At 52.8% G+C, this 20,332-nt stretch overlaps 1 protein-coding gene across 10 annotated transcripts in view, besides 1 other annotated feature; it reads right to left on the bottom strand.

The window, feature by feature from the left end:
- The window catches only part of COQ8A (coenzyme Q8A), a 47,251-nt gene that overhangs the window by 22,075 nt on the left and 4,844 nt on the right, over nt 1–20,332 (bottom strand). For 9 of the 10 annotated variants that reach the window (XM_047425745.1, XM_047425732.1, XM_024448517.2 and 6 more), the window contains 2 exons: nt 3,908–4,093; nt 60–470 (listed from right to left, as the gene is read on the bottom strand). In XM_047425745.1, coding sequence (XP_047281701.1) covers nt 60–470; nt 3,908–4,084 — 588 coding nt within the window. In that variant the 5' untranslated portion in view covers nt 4,085–4,093. Of the gene's footprint in view, nt 1–59; nt 471–3,907; nt 4,094–15,834; nt 15,988–20,332 lie in introns of all 10 variants that reach the window. The other variant, XM_011544238.2, reaches the window with a different exon arrangement.
- Nucleotides 13,703–14,202: an enhancer, noted in NCBI's record as "H3K4me1 hESC enhancer chr1:227138969-227139468 (GRCh37/hg19 assembly coordinates)". NCBI's record gives its function as "activates a minimal SCP1, AML or CMV promoter by ChIP-STARR-seq in naive H9 embryonic stem cells {active_cell/tissue: H9 hESC(naive)}" and the evidence as "EXISTENCE:reporter gene assay evidence [ECO:0000049][PMID:30033119]".

Here is a 20,332-nt window from a genome sequence, read left to right as displayed (position 1 = left end):
AGGCCATCACTGCTGTGGGTGGCAGCTACCTCGGCCCTCCAGGGGCCTCCCATACGCACCGTCTGTTTGTGCTGCTTGTTCTCGGGGCGAGCCTTAGCCTGCCGGGCCTTCTCAATGTCCTCGGCTGTGAGGCCCCCAACAGGGGATTGGTCCTGGTGGAAGAACCTTCGCTGAAAGCCCATGGCAGAGAATGAGTCTCTGGGGTTTGCAAAGAGCCTCCCGTTGGCCCTGCCCAGAGGGGAGGAGGCCTGGCCGGGGAACCCGGCTTCTCTAAAGGGTCCACTGGCCACGTAGGCAGGAGCTGGGCCCTCGCTGTGGGCATGACCCAGGGATGGGGGCGCTGACTGGTCGGGAGCGGAGGCTGAAGAGAAGTCTGTGGAGGCTCCGGCTGCATGCGGGACTGAGAAGTGGAACTCCCCTTCTGGGCCGCCGAAGTTCTCAGCAAAATATTCTTCATGTTTATCCTGACCCTGCAGGGAGCAAAGGCCAGCATTAGGAGAGCAAGAGCGAGCCAGGAGCTCCTCCCTGCCTGTCCCCTGCTGCCCAGGACAGCACACCACCAGCATCCCGCCCCCTCCCACCTCCAGAGGTGGCACAGTGCTGCACCTGAGGCCCGGCACCCTTCCCAGCCTGGGAGCCGGGACCTGGGCTCCAGCCCTGCTTCTGTTGGGGCTCTGCTGTGTGGTCCTAGGTGGGACACTGAGCACCTACTGTGTGCCCAGCCGGGGCCAGGCCAAGTGCACACTACGCCCGCAGCGGGTTCCTCACCTATAAAACAGGGCCAAGAAGGCCTCCAGGGCTTTGGAGATGGTAAACCAGGGCGCAAAAGACAGGGAAAGCTCTGAGAGGTGAACACACAGCCTAAGGCCAGCAAGGGGTGAGGGAAGCACACCGACGGGCCCACCTAAGCCCACAGCTTACTGCAGACATGGATGCCACCCACCAGCCGGGGTATGCATGTAAGAGATCCTCACTGGAGAGGTGGTTACAACCAGGACCAGGCCTGGCCGTCCCTAAGAGCTCAGGGTACAGGGAAATGGAGGGGCAGGGGAGAGGATACGCCATGTTTTCTTTGTGATGGTCACCAAGGCCTGAGCTTCGGGCCCAGGTCCTTTCTGCTTCTGAACCAGGAGTGACCTTGAGTGAGCTCCTGACCCTTCTCTGCTACTTCCTCATCTGAAAATAGGGCTCCTCACAGTCACAGTTACTGGAGGCCACAGACAGGGCCAGGAAACAGCACCCAGGAGCCTATAATTAGAACAGCACCGGCTTCTAGAGGGAGACCAGTGGCCTGGATTCTCGGCTTCAACTGAAACAAATGAAATGCGCAGGGTATGCAGACAGCAGGATACCCAAGCCTCACGTTCTGCTGTCTAAGATGTCACAGGATGGGAGGGAGGAGAGAGACAGGCTGTTACACTCATTTCAAAAACAGGAAACTGAGGCAAAGACGGCTGATGTGCTGGTGAAGGTCACCAGGCAGCAAATGACAGAGCCGGGATCCAACACCCAGGCTGGCCCTGCTGGCTGTGGCACTACTCTCAGAGTAGAAACAAGTTGTATTTATGCCAGTGCGATGGCTCACACCTGTAATCCCAGCACTTTGGGAGGATGAAGCAGGCAGATCACCTGAGGTCAGGAGTTCGAGACCAGCCTGGCCAACATGGCGAAACCCCATCTCTACTAAAAATACAAAAATTAGCCAGGCGTGGTGGCAGGCACCTGTAATCCCAGCTACTCAGGAGGCTGAGGCAGGAGAATCGCTTGAACCTGGGAGGCGGAGGTTGCAGTGAGCAGAGATTGCGCCACTGCACTCTAGCCTGAGCAATGGAGCAAGACTCCATCTCAAAAAAATAAAAAATAAAAAACCACAGAAGTCATATTTAAATTCACAGAGCCCCCAGGGAAGGCTTGACAGTGAGGGAGCCTGGGCAGGGCCCTCCTTCTGCCCCATCACTCCCATGATGGTCCCCTGGCCCTGTGCTACTAACACCTGTCGGTGTCACTGTGGAAGCCCAAGGCCAGTGGGGGGGTCCCCAGGGCCCCGAAGGGACCCGGACTCAGTAAGTATCTGCTGAATGAATGTGGAAGCAACCTTGAGGGGCTGGAGGGAGACAGGATCCTGGAGTCCGTGACCTTCCTCCCCTCGCGAGAAGGGAGACACGGAAAAGCGAAGCACTGAGGGAGTGAATGGCAGCGCACTGCGGGCAGCCACCCTGCTCCGGTGCCTACCCTGCTCCCGTGCCTCCTGGGTGGTGTGGCTCGTCACTCAGCCCTACCTCCGAGTGACTGATGGGGAAGCCCTGCCCCTTCCAGACATGCTTTGGGAGCAGAGGGTTGGAGAGTGCCCGAGTAGGAGGCCCTGCTCGCCATTAGGGCTAAGGCCTGTCCAGGCTGTCCCACTCCTGGGCAGGCCCAAGTGAGCTGGGCAACCTCACTTTCTGAGTGTCCCACAGGCAAAACACCCAAGAGCGAGGCCGAGGCCCCACACTCAGGCACCAAATCAGGCAAGGGGAGGGCAAGAGCATGGAGTCCAGGCTGGGAGGGGACAAGAATTCTGGTCCTGTCACTCGTTATGAGTCCTGCAGCAAATTGCTTCACCTCAGTTTCCTCATCTGAGAAATGGGTGTGATGGTCCAGGCTGGCCCCCATCCCAGGACAGTGGTGAGGCTCGGGGGAGAGCACAGGTGTGAGGACTTCTGAACATTAAAGGCAGGTATGCTTGGTGACAGCCACTGTATCACTGTGGGATCCTCCCAGAGCGGCAGGGAAGGGCCTGCAGGTCCTAAACCTGAGACTGAGATGCCTGGGGGCTGCGACGGCCTCACAGCCTGCAGGAGGGCGGTGACCTTTGTCCAGAAATCAGCCATCCACAGAACAGACGTGGAAGGAGAGAAGCTGCGACACAACCTCCAATGCACACATGCCTAAGCGCACACACACAGGTGCACACGCGCAACAGGCACACAAACACCCCCCACCCTGTCTCCTTGACTGTCAGGGAAGCTGCTGGCAACTGTGCAAGGTGACGCCATGGTGGGCCGTGCTCTGCTGTAGCCAGCCCTGTCTATAGTCACCTCTCCAGCACACGATTTCACTGAAAATCACCCCTTGGAGGTAAGACATCAAGGCTTCCTGGACCTTGGCACAAAAGGTCATCTCCTCCCCTAGATGGCACAGGGATGAGAGAGAGGCTGGAGATGAAGCTGTTCTTGGAAGGGCTGTGCCAGCTGCCACCAAGGAAAGGAGGGCCCCCAGTCAGGAGTGCAGAGACCCTCAGCAAACTGAAGGAGAAAAATGAGGCCAGGCCTTGGCGGAGGCTCAGCAGGCTCAGTGGGAAGGGCCTTCGAAGGCTGAGCCAGGCTGATGGACACATGGGCCCCAGTAAAAACTGCATTGTGTGTCTCCAAAGTGCACACACTGAAACCTAGCCCCTAGTGTGATAGTATTGGGAGGTGGGGCCTTTGGGAAGTAATTAAGTCATGAGAATGAAGCCCTCCTCAATGGGATTGGTGCCCTCATAACACAGGCCCTAGAGAGCAGCCTTGCCCTCCTCCTGCCCCATGAGGACACAGTGAGAAGATGGCCATCTATGGATTAGGAAACAGGCCCTCACCAGACACTGAATCTTCTGGCACCTTAATATTGGACTTTCCAGTCTTTAGAACTTTGAGAAATAAGCGTGCATTGTTTAAGCCACCAGTCTATGGAATTCTGTTATAGTTGCCACAGCCTCACACAGGGGCCCTGTCCCACCCTGGAAGGACCGTGGGACACATTAGCTGGTGGGCCCTCAGGCCCTGGCCACCAAAGACCAGTTGCCATGGTCACAGCCCTTGGTCTCCCCCAGAGCTCCAGGTCCCACCCTCTTCCTGCCAGCACCCCTCCCACTGCCAGGCCCCCTTACCTGCACCTTCCCCAAGAACATGCCAATCTGCTCCACAGCCGTGGACTGCAGGGCCCTGGCCGCCATGATCAGCTCCCCTCCGATGCCCAAGTGCTGCAGGTGGGTTTCCACGGCCGCCTGGGTCAGCTTGACAAGGCCTTTAGCCACCATGATGGTGTCTCCCAATATGGCAGCCATCCTTCAGGGCTGGAAGAGAGGAGGCCAAGTCAGGGGAGGCCCCAGGCCTCTGCAGGCCAAACCCACACTACCAACTCCACACCAAACTCTGAGCAGAAGGTCCAGAGGGCTGGTTTTTCCACTGATCTCCCCTTCTGCTAAGAGATAAGAAAGGGCCCAGGGCTCAAGGGAGGCTCCACGTGACTCTGGACACTCCAGGGGAATGGAGCAGAATAAAGGCCGTTGAGTCAGTGGTGCGGTGTGCTTGCTGCTTCCCACACATTTCCTCACCTGGGCCTCACAAGCACCCTACGGAAAACCTGAGGCACAGACAGGTGGCGTGATTCATGATTCGCAGCAGAACCAGGACTTGAGTCAGGCGCACAGACTCCCAGTCTAGGGTTCATCCCTCTGGACCAAAACTGCCTGTTGGGAGAGGAGCATCCAATTCCCAAAGAACTTCCCTGCAAGGTCCAAGGGACCACTCACGGCATTGGTGCTCCAACCCAAACCCACAGGGGCTGAGGCTGCCTGTCCCTGCCCAGCCACCATTGCTCTGCCCAGTGAGGCCTGTGACGGATATCCATAGACCAAGGGACAACCAGAGCCCCTCCCTGACCCCTCAGGGTCAGCCCACCCTCAGCTTCAACTATTCACCAAACCAATGTTTTCAAACTGCAGTCCAGACCCACAGTGCAATAATTTGGAAGATCCTAACCACCATTCAAAAGAAATGAACAACCACCACCACCACCAAGCACCACTACCACCACCACCACCACCACCACCATCACCACCGCCACTGCCGCCACCACCACCACCAAGCACCACCACCACCACCAAGTACCATTGACACCACCACCAAGTACAACCACCACCACCAAGCACCACCACCACCACCAAGCACCACCACCACCACCAAGTACCACTGCCACCACCACCAAGTACTGCCACCACCACCAAGTACCACCAAGTACCACCACCAAGTACCACCGCCACCACCAAGTACCACCACTGACACCACCAAGTACCACCACCACCACCAAGCACCACCACCACCACCACCAAGTACCACTGATACCACCACCAAGTACCGCCACCACCACCAAGTACCACCACCAAGTACCACCGCCACCAAGTACCACCACCACCACCACCAAGGACCACCACCACCAAGTACCATCACCACCACCACCACCACCAAGTACCACCACCACAAGTACCATCACCACCACCACCACCAAGTACCACCACTACCACCAAGTACCACCACCACCAAGTACCACTACCACCACCACCACCAAGTACCATCACCACCACCACCACCAAGTACCACCACTACCACCAAGTACCACCACCACCAAGTACCACTACCACCACCACCACCAAGCACCAACACCACCACCAAGCACCAACACCACCAAGCACTACCACATGATGCAGAATCAAAAAGGAAGCATCAAGGAGCACTGTGGGTAGCTTTCTTAGTTCACTTGTCCTACTTTCAAAGTGGCAAATATATAAGCCATCTAAAAAAGTACACACTGAACAGTACTTGGTTGTGTCTTTCTTCCTACCTAAACAGTTGCATCCTACATACCCAGTGAACTCCCAACTGGTGCCAAGCCCCACCCTAGACAGTGGCGCCAGAGCCAGGAAGCAGAGATGGTGAGCACCCACTCCGCTGGAAGGAGGGCCCAATAGGGGAAATACCCCATAGATATGTGGTCCTGCATACTGGGATGCAAAACCTGTTCTTCTCAAATCAATAAACACAGACTGCTAATAAACAGATGCTGCTAATAAACACAGTCTGTCATTTGTGAGCAGACTAACATGTAGACTCATTTCAAAACCACAGCCTGTACCCACCCCCCTTTGACAAATATCGCTGACCTACTGTTTAGGGGCCACACCCACACCTCCCCTTACCATGCAAAGTGAACCCTTCACACCTCATCAACATCAGGTACTTTTTTTTTTTTTAAGAGAGGGGTCTCACTATGTTGCCCGGGCTGGAGTGTCAAGGCTGTTCACAGGCATAATCATGGCACCCTACAGCCTCAAATTCCAAGGCTCAACTGATCCTCCCACCTCAGGCTCTCAAGCAGCTGGAATTACAGGCCTGCACCACCATGCCAGCTTAAGACCAGGTATTTTTCTGCAAGGGAGTCTACGCTCTCACAGAAGTAGAAAGGAGGGAAGGGGAATAACTACCAGAAGGAAACATCTGTCCAGAACTTTTCTCACCTTCTGTTTTCAAAACTTAGGTCTTAAAATCCTACTTCTAATGCACCACAATCCCAAAGTGCCTCATAATTCAACGATCCCACAATTTCGCTGCAAATCCCTTCCAGGGGTGTACCAAGAACCAGGCACACAGCTACACCAGGAGGTATTTTCATCATGATTTTAAAGAAATAAAAGCCCTCAAACCATGTAATACACAAGTTAAAAATCCTATCAGCACCGTGACTTCATCTGCAAGTACCAGGCCCTCGCTAGGAACACCAGTCTCCCACCTACCCTACTTCTTCCTGCTGCTCCATGAGCACGTTTTGGGGGTCTCGCCTGTGAGTAACTGAAATGAAGTGTTTGGGCTCTGTGCCTCCTTGGTACAGCAGCCTCCTGAAGGCCTCCGTGTGCCTGCCTGCTCTCCTCTGAGGAGGGGCAGCCAAAAGAGTGACCATAAATGATAAAGCAGTGGGGGTGGGAGACAGGTGCTCATGTTTGGGAGTGTCCACTAGCCAGGCATGAAACCAAAATAAAAAGTCAACCGGAGGTTCCTTCAACACAAGTTCACTGACCTCTCCCAGGGCTCTGGGCTAGTTCCTGCAGGCCCCGATGAACCTGCCCTGGCCCAGGGCTCATGGCAGCGTGGCATGCCCGTACCTCTATAATGGGCACAGACACCAGGGAGACAGCTAGGGGCCAACTGATGCTGACACGCCAGGATCGGAGGCAGAGTGGAAGCGACGACCTGGAGCCGGGACGTGAGACTCCAGGCCCATACCCACCAGCTGCCGCTGCCCAGCGTGTGGCTCAACCTCTTCCCCCCTCCTCAGTAGCTCAGTACGGAAGGGCTCTGGGTGCCTCATCAGACCCCTTTTCTGGTCCTAATGTGCTAACCTGCTCTAACGGGCTTTTGTGGGGTTGATAGTCTTTTTTATTTATTTGGGTGGCATGACGGTTATTTTTGGCTATACTATGGCGATGGCTACTGAGGAGTATCCTGAAACATGAGGATCAAATATTGACATCTGAGGGGCTTTATTATTAGGACTATTAATGGAGTTGATGCTGGTTCGGTGACTAGTTGAGCACGATGGAGTTGGGATCACGATTAAAGTAAATAAATGTCTTTATTGAAGTGTCTAGAGAGAAAAAGAACCGTGATAAATGCAGCTTCCCAACCCCACGGACAGGGGTTAGGAAAGCTGCACAAGGCTGTGTTCCCACCACAGGAGGGTGTTTTCTGGCCAAACTTTCACTCTCTGACCTTTCAGGGACACCGTCTCACTCATGCTGGAGACAAGGCTCCGACTCGGGGATCCTGACCTGCACACGAGCTGGAAATTATTTGGGTCATGGGGACCTTCAAATCTAGTCTCCAAAACCAAAAGACACCCCCACGGGCTGTCTAACCGGCCAGATACAAGAAGATATATCAATAGGAAAATGAGTTGTGTCCTTTTTAAAAATGAATTCAACAGTCAATCCTGACAGACGGCAGATGAGATTATCACACACTGTCCACTCAGGACCCACCAGAAGGAAGGAATTTTACTCTGAGGATCCCTTATACACTCCAAGTCCCCCCTTCACAGCCAAAACTCACTGTCTGTCACTCATCTCCTCTATGACAGCAGGCCAGGGACGTCATCTGCATTACCAAGCCACTGTTCAATCTCCTCCGTAAATACAGAGCACAGCATTATAAACCAGCTCCTCCCCAGCAAAGCATGGTGTCTGTTCTAAAAGCCAAGGACCCACTGTCCTGAAGTCTCTTGCAGTCATATCTGCCACCAAAGCCTAGACATGACTGGTATAAGAAGCTAGAAGCAAGTGGCACAAAAAGCCTTTCTTCTGGGCAAAGTGTGAACCAGGGAGGTGGGGGGGGGGGGGCAGGGAGAGTGTGAATCTGGGAGAGTAGGAGCCAGGGAGAGTGTGAACTAGGGAGAGTGTGAACCAGGGAGAGTAGGAGCCAGGGAGAGCGGGAGTCAGGGAGAGCAGAAGCCAGGGAGAGCGGAAGCCAGGGAGAGCAGGAGCCAGGGAAAGTGTGAACCAGGGAGAGTGAGAGCCAGGGAGAGTGTGAACCAGGGAGTGGCAGCCAGGGAGAGTGTGAATCAGGGAGAGTGGGAGCCAGGGAGAGTGTGAACGAGGGAGTGGCAGCCAGGGAGAGTGTGAACCAGGGAGTGGCAGCCAGGGAGAGTGGCAGCCAGGGAGAGTGTGAACCAGGGAGAGTGAGAGCCAGGGAGAGTGTGAACCAGGGAGTGGGAGCCAGGGAGAGTGTGAACCAGGGAGAGTGGGAGCCAGGGAGAGTGTGAACCAGGGAGAGTGAGAGCCAGGGAGAGTGTGAACCAGGGAGTGGCAGCCAGGGAGAGTGTGAACGAGGGAGAGTGGGAGCCAGGGAGAGTGTGAACCAGGGAGTGGCAGCCAGGGAGAGTGTGAACCAGGGAGTGGCAGCCAGGGAGAGTGTGAACCAGGGAGAGTGGGAGCCAGGGAGAGTGTGAACCAGGGAGTGGCAGCCAGGGAGAGTGGCAGCCAGGGAGAGTGTGAACCAGGGAGAGTGAGAGCCAGGGAGAGTGTGAACCAGGGAGTGGGAGCCAGGGAGAGTGTGAACCAGGGAGAGTGGGAGCCAGGGAGAGTGTGAACCAGGGAGTGGGAGCCAGGGAGAGTGTGAACCAGGGAGAGTGGGAGCCAGGGAGAGTGTGAACCAGGGAGTGGCAGCCAGGGAGAGTGGCAGCCAGGGAGAGTGTGAATCAGGGAGAGCGGGAACCAGGGAGAATGGGAACCAGGGAGAGTGTGAACCACGGAGAGTGGGAACCAGGGAGAGTGGGAGCCAGGGAGAGTGTGAACCAGGGAGAGTGAGAGCCAGGGAGAGTGTGAACCAGGGAGAGTGGAAGCCAGGGAGAGTGTGAACCAGGGAGAGTGGGAGCCAGGGAGAGTGTGAACCAGGGAGTGGCAGCCAGGGAGAGTGGCAGCCAGGGAGAGTGTGAATCAGGGAGAGCGGGAACCAGGGAGAGTGTGAACCAGGGAGAATGGGAACCAGGGAGAGTGTGAACCAGGGAGAGTGAGAGCCAGGGAGAGTGTGAACCAGGGAGAGTGGGAACCAGGGAGAGTGGGAGCCAGGGAGAGTGAGAGCCAGGGAGAGTGTGAACCAGGGAGAGTGGGAGCCAGGGAGAGTGTGAACCAGGGAGTGGCAGCCAGGGAGAGTGTGAATCAGGGAGAGCGGGAACCAGGGAGAATGGGAACCAGGGAGAGTGTGAACCAGGGAGTGGCAGCCAGGGAGAGTGGCAGCCAGGGAGAGTGTGAACCAGGGAGAGTGAGAGCCAGGGAGAGTGTGAACCAGGGAGTGGGAGCCAGGGAGAGTGTGAACCAGGGAGAGTGGGAGCCAGGGAGAGTGTGAACCAGGGAGTGGGAGCCAGGGAGAGTGTGAACCAGGGAGAGTGGGAGCCAGGGAGAGTGTGAACCAGGGAGTGGGAGCCAGGGAGAGTGGGAGCCAGGGAGAGCGGGAACCAGGGAGAATGGGAACCAGGGAGAGTGGGAGCCAGGGAGAATGGGAGCCAGGGAGAGTGTGAACCAGGGAGTGACAGCCAGGGAGAGTGTGAACCCAGGGAGTGGGAGCCAGGGAGAGTGTGAACCAGGGAGAGTGGGAGCCAGGGAGAGTGTGAACCAGGGAGTGGCAGCCAGAGAGAGTGGCAGCCAGGGAGAGTAGGAGCCAGGGAGAGTGGCAGCCAAGGAGAGTGTGAACCAGGGAGAGTGGCAGCCAGGGAGAGTGGCAGCCAGGGAGAGTGGGAGCCAGGGAGAGTGGGAGCCAGGGAGAGTGAACCAGGAAAAGCGGGAGCCAGGGAGAGTGGGAGTCAGGGAGAGTCCACGCTGAGAAGCCTTCCCCAGGGCAGCTGTCTGCTGCAAGCCTAGCACCCCAACCACCTATAGGTACCTCCTATAGGAAGTACGTCCCAAACTGACCTTACCACCCACACCTCATCCTCCCAGGGCTCCCACCCTGAGGAATGTGGCCACCATACGCTTCTTTCAAGCCTCCTCCCTTGCCCTCAAGCATCTGATATTCCCACTGGGTGATGCAGCAACCGTTCACCATGGCTCTGCCCTTCCCTCCACTGCCTTTAGGTTCCAGCCAGGCCAACCCACTCCTGGAACCAGAGAGGCTTCCTCCTGCAGGCCTGTGCAGAGGGGGCACACCTCCTCTCCTCCTCCCGGATCTCAGCACCAACATCACCTCTTCTGGGAAGGCTTCCCCAACATGCCTCCCAGCACCCTGTGCCCATCCCCTCCAGCACAGCAGTGACCACTTCCTGAATCTGCCTAACTCTCTCCCCAGTCGGATATCAGCCACAGGACAAGGACTACAAGGACCATCAGCCATAGGACAAGGACCACATCTGTCTTCCTCTCTCCAGCACCGAACACCATGCTCAGGATTGAGCAGACAGGTCATTAATATTTGCCAAAGGAAATGAACTCAGCTGGTCCCTCCAAAGTTTGAGAAAGCCTGCTATTCTCTGGCTGGCTCACACTTGCTGGCAACTTTTACTCCACATACAGAATCAAGGGCCTCTCAGGAGGCTGGTCTGAGGCACTGGTCCTCAAGCTGCTGCGAACGTCTCAATCACCTTAAGACGAGTCCAGAGTGCTGGGCCACACCCCTAAGGGTTCCGTCTCAGCAGGTCTGGGGTGGGGCCCGGGAATCTGCATCTCTAACAAGTTCCCAGGTGCTGCTGACACTGCAGGTCCCAGGAACTTACTTTGAGAACCCCGGTTCTGGAGGAAGAGAGGGAAGGGGAGCAGAGGTGGCCCATGCCTATGGCCAGGCAGGATGCCTCCACAGAGACCCTTTCCTAAGAGTCTCCCCCTGAAACCCTCTTCCCAAGAGTCTGGCTTTGCCCTTAGGCGGAAGTCTTCCACCTGCCCCTTCTTTTTCCATTATTCTTCAAGAAACAGAAAAAGGAAATCAAAAGTGAATGAGCTTAGAGACCGTGACCCACAGAGCAGACCTCCAAAGGCTCTCAAGACTGTCAATTCAAGGATGCTTTGGCAAGGACTGTTTAATGATATTCAGGATACCCTGAGGGGCTGGCAGTGGCCTTCTGCCCCCCTCCCAGCCAGGAACTGTCTTTTCACTTTGGGCATGAACATTCTCAATTTCTAGCCTGTGTGGGCACTGAAACATTCCTTTACGTCCTTGAAATTTTTCCTTTTTTACTCTTAGAAAAAGAAAACAATTGACTGTTTCCTCCAAGGACTCACAAGAATGTATGTGTTGGGGCAAAGACTTCAAACTTCTGAACCAAACTCCATGAGTCTCTTTAGATGTAACCTTCACCTCAGTCTTTATGATCACACACCAGGGAGCATCACTCAAACATCTCGGGCAACTCCCGGCTTCTATCTCGCGAGGTCCAGCTTCAGGGTCTCTGTCAGTAGGTCCTGAAATATCCTCACCTGCTACCAGTTTTCAAAGACAACTGAACACATGAAGAACCCAGGAGATGAGAAAGAGGGAAAAAAGCCTCCGTCCTTCCCCCGTCAGTGAGCCCCAGCACAGGCCTGCTGAGTGAGACCTTCACAGCGGGAGCCCAGGAGCCTGTACTCAAGAGTCTACCCCAGGGCTGGGCTCTCAGAGCTGGCCCCAAAGAGCACATCTTCCAGGAAGTCCCCTCTCCCCTTCTCCTCAGGCCCTGCCTGGCAAAACCTGTCAAATTACATCTCCCTAAAAACAGATGTGAACATTCACTACAAGAATGTAAACATCACAACCTTGCCTAAGATTAGTTAGCTAAACGGTGGAATAGTCATAGGAGGGCATTCCACATAGTCATTGAAAATGACACTGTGGGCCAGGCACAGTGGCTCATGCCTGTAATCCCAGCACCTTGGGAGGCCAAGGCTGGTGGATCACGAAGTCAGGAGTTCAAGACCAGCCTAACCAACATGGTGAAACCCCATCTCTACTAAAAATACGAAAGTTATCCAAGCGTGGTGGCATGCGCCTGTAATCCCAGCTACTCGGGAGGCTGAAGCAGGAGGATGGCTTGAAACCAGGAGGCGGAAGCTGCAGTGAGCCAAGATCATGCCACTGCACTCCAGCCTGGGAGACAGAGCCAGACTCCATCTCAAAAAATAAATAAATAAAATAAAATAACACTGTGAAAGGTGTTTACTGACAAATAAGAAAGTGTATTATTATATATTCCCGGGAAATAAAAAGCAGGTCACAAAACTATCATCTTTCCTTTTGGAGCAGGAAAGGAGAGAAGAAAGGGAGGGAGGTGACAGGAAGCAAAAACAGGAACGTTGCTTTTCATGCAGTGGTGGGAAGACAAATCTTTCTTTATAGAAAGATTTGTATATAGATACAGCCTTTGTACCTGTATCTATATTTTCTAAAATATTCTACAAAGAACATGAACTACTTTTACAATAGAAAATAAATGTTATAAAAATAATATCAGGTTGGGTGAAGCGGCACACGCCTGTAATCCCAGCACTTTGGAAGGCCAAGGTGGGAAGATTGCTTGAAGCCAGGAGTTTAAGACCAACCCGGGAAACACAGGGACATCCCCATCTCTACAAACAAAAAAATTAGCCAGGCGTGGTGCTGCACCTGTAGTCCCAGCTACTCAGAAGGCTGAGGTGGGAGGATCGCTTGAGCCCAGGGATTTGAGGCTGCAGTGAGCTATGATCACACGACTGCACTCCAGCCTGGGTAACAGAGCAAGAAGACCTGTCTCAAAAAAAATAAAATAAAAGATAAATAAAATAAAAATAATCTTAAATATCTTTTATTAAAATTTTAAAAAGTAAGCAAGCACACAAATGTATTCCCCATCCCCTAAGTGCTTGTCCATAGCAGAACGGGCAAGGGTTAGGCAGCAGATTGGAATGGCATAAACATTGCCTCTCCTTGTTTAGCCACTGTCCTTCATCAGAAGACAACTGCTCCTAACAGGCCACCAGGCGGATGGAAAGTGGCACCTCCAATTTGGAGAGAGAGGCTCAACTGCCCTTCTCGGGACAGTGGGGAAAAAAATCACTTGGAACAAGCAGCGGGTCTGCCTGCCTTCCCTAATGTTGGCCTCTGGGTTAAAAGACGGAAATAATGAAAGGGTGCTTACCCCCGATCCTCAAAAAAACAGGATCCTAGTTTAGAACTGGGTAGTAGGTGCAGTGACCACATCTTTTGCAACAAAAATTAAGACACATAATTAGTGTCCTTCCAGGGCAGGGGTTAGCAAACCATGGTCCTCAAGCCAAATCCAGTCCTACTGCTTGCTTTTTTGTCAATAAAGTTTTATTGGAACACAGCCTGCTCACCCATTTATAGATTACGTATAGCTCATTCGTTTACATATGTATTGTCCCTAGCTGCTTTCTTTTTTTTTTCTTTTTTGGCTACAACAGCAAAGTTCAGCAGTTGCAAGAAAGATCTATGACCCATAAAGCCCAAAATATTTACTATTTGTCGACTCATATTCTAGGGCAAGAGTAAAAACCACAGCTGTCCCAGGAAATTTGGAAGGTCACCAGAGTTGAATGAGAACACCCCAATAAGGCTCGTGTTGGGGCAAGGACCCCCCCATTATAGTTCTGCTCCTGACCCTGAGAAATGGGCTCACCTCGCCAGACACAGAGCTGCCCAACACCCACAGGCCCCCAGGTGAAGCCAGAGAAAGGCAAGCCACCTGGTACTGTATTATCCAGGCCAGGGTGGCCCCTAAGTACTGCTCATGAAGGGACAGGCCTGGGGGGCTGGGAGGGGTTGTCCAATGCCAACTTTCTGTACAGCTCTCCTCCCTCCTCCTGTCGCTTCAGGAGGCTCACAGCCTAACTGCAGACACCCGCATTCCCCTCCACGTTGTTGGTCCACGGCTTGGGCTTGGGCTGATATAAAATCATCCACCATCTAATCATTCCTTCATCCCTCCACTTTCTCAGCCTCCTTTACAAGAACCCCCTTGCAAGGCAAGCACTGACGTGGGTGTGGGGTCAGGGGGTGGTCAGGGGAGACACAGAGGCAGACAGGGACGCACGCTGCTGCCTCCACCCCATGCCCCACATAGAGTCCCTTCTGACTGCAGGGCGTTGGTGGCCTCCTGGTGAGCCACATACGCTGGCCTGTCTGCCCCGGCAGAGAGGTCTGAGCTCACCATGGCCCTCACACAGGTCTGTACCCACAGCCTCTGGATGTCCCAGTGGGTCATGCCTTGTAAGAAAGGGAGTTTCCAGGGCTCAACTTGCCTTCTAGGCTAAGGACTTCAAGTTCCCTTGAAAGTTGCTCCCAGACTACTGGGGTTTTTCTTTGAACTGTTTAAAAATTATACATTCTTGTGCTAATAACATAAACAAGAGCTTGTTGAAAGCAGGCACTGAATCCCATACTGCTAATTTTTTCTTAAAAAAAAAAGCAAGCAACTAGGCACTGACATTCTCCCCCATGAATGAAACCAGTTTCACAGATGTTTTCATTTTGTGAGCAGCAGAACCAGCCCACCATGCCAATGATAACTACAGCTGCTTTTGCTGGGTTTAGTATATGCCAGGCTCTGGGCTCAGTGTTCTACTTAGCACAAAGATGTATTAACTCAATCATTTTCAAAAGGTAAATTATGCCCATTTTACAGATGAGGGTGCTAAGGCACAGAGTGGTTAAGTAATTTGCCCGAAGTCACACAGCTTTTAAGAAGTAAAGCTGGGACCTGGATCCATCATGGCTCAGGAGCTAGGCAACCTGTTTAACAGGTAAGAGGAGAAAAAGAGCAAAACAGTGTGTTTTTGATGTCCCAGGCTGCAAACCTCCATTCTCCATCCATTGGAAGATTAAGATATTCTTAGGATTCCCTGGGTGAGTTGCCCTGTGGTGAGCACTGGGTTGGGAGCTGGGCAGGGTTGGGGGTGATATAAAAGCAGCAGAAGGCAAAGTTCCAGCCTCTGATGATAGTCCAGAGAAGGACCCAACACTGTGAGCGAACCTGCATGGGCTCAGAGCTCCAACCACAGGCAGGCAACAGAGGGTCCCAAGCAGCCTCTCCCACTCTGTGAGTTGATATAGCCGATGACACACAAGGCTTTTAAAGGCCAACCAGCCAAGCGCAAGGTCCTGATGGCAATTTAGTTTTCTGACTAAAAACCTAGTGAAGTTTACTGCTTAAAACATTTAAATTAAAATATTTGGCTCAGGAAGTGATACTGGTGACATGGTTAAGATGCTCTGAGGTTAGGTGATCTGGGTTCACATCATGACTCTGCCACTGACTTGCTAGTGTGACCTAAATCAAGTCATGTGAGCTTATCTTTGTGCCTCAGTTTCCTCATCTGTTCTTGAAAGGACTGGATAAATCCATGTAACAGCATTCAGGACATATAGTAGGTGCTTAAAAACCATTAGCTAATGCCATTATTATTAGTAGTAGTATTGCAAGCACACAGACATTCTGGAATGAAGTTCAGACTTGGTGAGACCAACGGTTAGGGTGAATGGGATCAGTCTGGATAACCCGCAGTTGTTCCTGCCAGGCACAGTCTCATACCTGAGTTGGGAGGAAGGCTGGGCTGGGGAGGACCAGTGTGGTTTATTTAGTGCTGTGGTATGAGGCATCATTCAGGAGAGGCAGTCCAAAGTGCTGGCAGCCTGCTTCGAAACCAGGGACACAAATGTCCACTGGTATTCCTTACCACTTCACCTTAAAGGAGAAAACAGCATGGGAGGCTTTTGTCCAGGTACATTCAGGGAGAGGCAGTTGGGAAGAAAACCCCTCTAACTCCCACAAGCTCCCCAGCTCCGAGCCATGGAACACTCTCCTGCCAGATTCCTCTCCCTATAAAAAAACCCACGTTCATCATGCCAACGCGTTGCTCAAATGGCTCCTCTACCTGTAGACATGTATGTAGACATATATATAAAACCCAAACTCCTGCGCCTGAAGTCCCAGGCATCGAAATCAGGCCCCCGGCCTCCTTTCCAGCCTCCAGCTACGCGCGAGCCATGTGAGCGCACTCCACTCTGCAGGTCCTACTTTCTCAGGCAGGCCCGCTCGCCCCTTCATCTCTGTACGTCTGAAAACCCACCCATTAGCCAAGGGTGAGGGCCTTGGGGCCTTGGGGCTGGGAATCAGCTCTGCCCTGACCAGCTGGGCTGCTCCAGGCATATTCTCGAACCATCTCTGACCTGTTTCCTCTCCTCGAAATGATGGTATAAGTTATTATATTGTCCAATATAAATGGAGGGGTGGGTGGATATACTTTGAAATGTGTTAAAGCACCATATAAATTCAAGAACGTATTCCTATTCAGGCCCTTGATTCCCAGCTCTTCCATATTTACGTTCTCCTGACAGCTGATCTAACTTGCTGGTCAGATTCCTACATTGTAAGTTACTCTTCTTCTTGCACATGGACCTCTCTTCTCTTCAAACTATAAGCTCCTTGTGGGAGGCTCTTGTCTCAGACAACTCTGACTCTTCCCACTCCACCCACACACACAGAGTGATCCACCCACACAAATTACAAGCGCAAGCGTTGACTGAATTCACGAACCACTGCCACCCAGGAAGGTAATTAAGGATCCTAAAGTTGAGGTTGAAGGGTTTCTTTCAACGTTTCTTTCAGACGCTTACAGGGTTGTCTTTAAATCTGGCCAAAATACTGTGGGTGGCTGTGGTAGGCTGAATAATGGTGTCTCAAAGATACCCATACCACAATCCCCAGAACCTGTGAATGTTACCTGCAAATGGGACTTTGCAGATATGATGAAGTCAGGGATCCTGAGATGGGGGATTATCCAGGTGGGCCCAATGTAATCACAAGGGCCCATATAAGAGGGAGGCAGGCAGGGCAGAGTCAGAACGAGGTGATGGGAGACAGAAGTGAGGCTGGAGTGATGCCATTGTGAGGAAGAGGCCACAAGCCAAGGAATGCAGGCAGCCTCTAGGCTGGAAAAGGCAAGGGGTCGGGTCCTGCCCTTGAGCCTCCAGAAATGAACCAGCCCAGCTGATACCTTGATTCTAGCCTAGTGAGACCAATTTCAGACTTCTAACCTCCAGAACTGTAAGATCATACATTTATGATGCTTTGAGCCACAAACTTTGTGGTAATTTATCACAACAGCCATAGGAAATTAAAGCAGATCCTTGGGTTGGGGAGAGGGGCTGTATTCTAGAATAATTTCCAGACCATTCTTCTAAATTAACTTTGGTCACTCCACAAATACTACTGAATGCCAACCAAGTGCGAGGCACCAAGCTGGGTGGTAGACTACCCCACAGACAGCTCAGTGCATTCCTGTTCTTAATGACGGAGTCCTGTTGACTTTCTCTATATTGGGCCCATACTACATGCCAGGCAGATAGATATATATATATATATATTTTTTTGAGACAGGGTCTTACTGTTGCCTAGGTTGGAATTCAGTGGCATGATCACAGCTCACTGCAGCCTCAACCTCCCCAGGCACAGGTGATTATCCTGAGTAGCTAGGACTACAGGTGGGTACCACCACACCTGGCTAATTTGTTTGTATTTTTAGTAGAGACAGGGTTTCACCATGTTGCTCAGGCTGGTCTCGAACCCCCGACCTCAAGTGATCTGCCCACCTCGGCCTCCCAAAGTGCTGGGATTATAGGTGTGAGTCACCGTGCCTGGCCTCGGTTTTATATTCTTAATCTTTCAAAACACTTTTACTTCAGGTTTAATATCTCAATGAAATAGGAATAATAACAAGAACAGCTACCATTTATTATTCCCCTCTGTCTGCCTGTCACTTTATATTACCTCTAGTTCTTACAAAGACCTGGTGAGGTATTATCCCCACTCATTGATAGGATAATTAAAGCTCATCAAGGCTGAGCAATCTCCTAAGGGCCAAAGCTGTGGGATGCTGGACCCTTCCACACCTGTCTGACTCAGGCTCCAGTCCTTTCTTCTTACTGCCTAGGAAGCTGAGAGATAGCAGAGAAGAACACTGCCCCAAATCAATAACTCCTTTTTTGTTAAATCAATAGTCACTCAATATGAGACATCAGCAAGGTTTACATCCTGAAATGTGTCTTCCTGGTTACAGAAAATTGAGTCATAAAAATTCTGGGGCCAGCTGGGCTCTCAAAGGCCATCTGGCCAAACTCCCTGCTCTGGAAAGTTTGTCAGCTGCCAGGACTGAGGGTATCACAATTCTCAGCACCAGTGATCCTACCCACTAGAGGCAAAGCTTGGTTCCAGAGCCAGTTTGATCTTAAACATAAATAGTGGAAAGAGGCAGACGCCCTACACTGAAGACTGCCTCTGGGTGTGCAAGAGCTAGGAGGAGCCATCGGGCACACGGCCCTCAGTCTTGCCACACTCAACACCAGCACCAACCTTTATTAGCATCACCTCCAAATGCCACACACAGGCCAGGTGTGGACATGCACACATCACTGGTATGGAAGTTAAATAAACATGTTCTGCCCTGAGGTCACACACAACCCTTAGGCACTACATGTGTATGTAAAACCTCGATAGCTTTTAAAATCACCCAGTTAACCCAGACAAGGGGCAATCCTAGACAGACAACAACCACACACGCAACGAGAAATGAGAAGAGGCTCAGCAGGGTGCAAGGGGACCACAGACCCAGGAGAGGTGGCCATCTCCTTGCTGATCTCCACTCTCCCTGGTCTGGCCTGGCCAGCAAGGCCCTTCACTGTGGAGCCCCAGACACCTCTGCAGCGATACCTCTCGCTAGATGCCTCCGTGCCCCAACGCTTCAGCCAGAATGGACCCCCGGCCCCGCCCAACACCCACACAGGTTTTCCAGCTTCCACATCCTGCTCCCTCCTCCCCATGGAATATCATTTCCCCTGCTGGAATCTTGGCCACCCTGCTGGACTGGTAAACCCCTCCATAGGCAAGTCATCTCCTTTCCTCTAAACTCCCTCATCTCTTAATGGCCTAAGGTCACCTCGCCATGCCCTGTATGACTCTGTGTGTGCCTGTCCCATTTCCCTTACTGCAAGGTAAGCTCCGGAGGGAGGGGCCCTCTCTTTCCCAGTTCTGTACCCCCAACGGGGTCTGGCACTGTCCTCATACACACGAGTTTATTAGCATTATGAGTCAGTGAGGCAGGACCCAGGCACCCAGGCTCCGTGGCTTCCTGAGCTCCCTCATCGAGAGCCCAGGACTGAAGAGACCACCGAGGAGGCTGAGCACCAGGGGAACCTGAATCCCCAACATGCACAGCCACAGAAATGGCAGCAGCACCCTGTTCAAAAAGTGATTTTTACAGGAGCAAAAGCCAGATGAGTTTCCAAGCCAGCTTCATAATCCCGCTCATGGTGGGCACACAGACCCAGGGAGGGAGCAGGGGACGCAGTCACTGCTACTGCTTCCTCTGCGTCACCCCCGTCCCTGTCTAAGACTGAGGGAAAAGAGGAGGGGCTGAAGCCAGCAGGCAGCTGTTCCTCAGCAGGCCAATCAGCCCTGGCCCATGAACCGTGAGCACCAAGCAGGTGTAAACAGCAGCTACAACAGGCATCGCGGCAGCACAATGTCCAACCCTTGACCACATGCTGGCTGTAAACACCTTAGGGAGCAAGAGCCACAGGATTTTTTCAATCTCGGGAAGATTAGAGATGTTTGCTCAAGCACGTGTCAAACAGTAACCACCTTCAGCTTACCGGGCAATCGACTCTTACTTTTACCCTCCTCTGAGCCAGTATCAGTGCCAAACAAAAAATGTGCCAAGCACAGAACAAACACTGGGCTGGGGCCCAGGCTCTGAGCTTGAACTTTAACATTTCTTTTCATGTGGACTGTCCCCAGGACCCCTCATCCAGCCCCGTGAACAGCAGGGACTTGCCACCAGGTCCTCCAGTTCCCAGATGACACCGCATATATTGTGATGAGGGCCGACGGGGAGGACCAACAGCAAGGCCACCAAGCGCGGGTGACCTCAGGCACACCGCTTCTCCTCTTGGGGCCTGCGTTTTCTCATTTCCTCATGTGTAAGTGAGGCGACTGACCTGGAGGAGGTCTAGTTCCCAGAGATTAGGAAAGG

Source organism: Homo sapiens, chromosome 1 (genome assembly GCF_000001405.40).
Source record: "Homo sapiens chromosome 1, GRCh38.p14 Primary Assembly".
NCBI lineage: Eukaryota > Metazoa > Chordata > Mammalia > Primates > Hominidae > Homo > Homo sapiens.
This window is presented reverse-complemented; position numbering and strand designations above follow the sequence as displayed.